The following is a 1,170-nucleotide window of genomic DNA, read 5'->3' as shown; positions in this document are numbered from 1 at the left end:
GCTATGATGTTTTGAAAGAAGGACAGGACCAGTGTTATGAAATAATTGAAGCTTATATCATGTGACAACAATTATCGTAATGTTGTGTGAGTTATTAAGAAATTATTTTAGGCAGATAGAGAAGAAAAGGGGTCCTTGGAAAGTTGTTTCTTTTAAAGCAGCTCCATAAACTTTTTTTTTTTTGGAGACAGAGTCCTGCTCTGTGGCCCAGGTTGGAGTACAATGGTTCGATCTTGGCTCACTGCAACCGACACCTCCCGGCTTCAAGCGATTCTCCTGCCTCAGCCTCCCGAGTAGCTGGGATTACAGGCAACCGCCACCATGCCTGGCTAATTTTTTGTATTTTTAGTGGAGACGGGGTTTCACCATGTTGGCCAGGCTGGTCGGAACTCCTGACCAGAGGTGATCCAGCCCCCTCAGCCTCCTAAAGTGCTGGGATTACAGGCGTGAGCCACCACCCCTGGCTGAAACGTTTCTTGTCTAGCAGGAAAGCCCCAGCTCTTAGAGCCAAGTGGCAACCTTTGATATGCAAATGCAAGCCATTAGAAACTGAGTCCAGCCAAACAAGGCGATTTCCGCCCTCTTCTCCTTGCCCTTGCCCTGACCTGTGCCTGACAATATGGCCGCCCTCACATATCCCCACGTGGGTACAACATCCTGACGCCTTGTATATTAAAAGGCTAGGGTCGGAGGGCCAGTTTTTTTGCTGGCTAGGTGAATGACATCCCTGGTCAAACCAATCCCCTGAGCCCTATGCAAATCAGACACCACCTCCTCCAGCCTACTCATATAAGCAGCCACTTTTCTGTGGCACATGGGGTCTCCTCTCTTGGATTTGGAGTCCCCTCTGACTGTCACTGAATGGGGGAGCTTCTTCCTTCTTTCTTGCCTATTAAACTTTCCACTCCTTAAAACCACTCCATGTGTGTCCATGTCGTTTTACCCAATTCGTGGGAGACAAGAGCCCTGGTGGTGTTCCTCCACTCATCGGAGCTGTATCAGTCAGTGAAGATTGTATCTTTATTTTTATTTTATTTTATTTTTGAGACGGAGTCTAGCTCAGTCTCCCAGGCTGGAATGCAGTGGCCTGATCTCGTCTCACTGCAACCTCCACCTCCTGGGTTCAAGCAGTTCTCCTGCCTCAGCCCCCTGAATAGCTGGGATTACAGG

At 48.6% G+C, this 1,170-nt stretch overlaps 1 annotated feature.

Annotated features, from left to right (window-relative positions):
• Positions 318-869: an enhancer, noted in NCBI's record as "OCT4-NANOG-H3K27ac hESC enhancer chr2:101154295-101154846 (GRCh37/hg19 assembly coordinates)". NCBI's record gives its function as "activates a minimal SCP1, AML or CMV promoter by ChIP-STARR-seq in naive H9 embryonic stem cells {active_cell/tissue: H9 hESC(naive)}" and the evidence as "EXISTENCE:reporter gene assay evidence [ECO:0000049][PMID:30033119]".

The sequence above is a fragment of the Homo sapiens genome, chromosome 2 (assembly GCF_000001405.40).
Source record: "Homo sapiens chromosome 2, GRCh38.p14 Primary Assembly".
In the NCBI taxonomy this organism is placed as follows: Eukaryota; Metazoa; Chordata; class Mammalia; order Primates; family Hominidae; genus Homo; species Homo sapiens.
The sequence above is the reverse complement of the archived record's forward strand: the minus strand, read 5'-3'. Positions and strand labels throughout refer to the sequence as shown.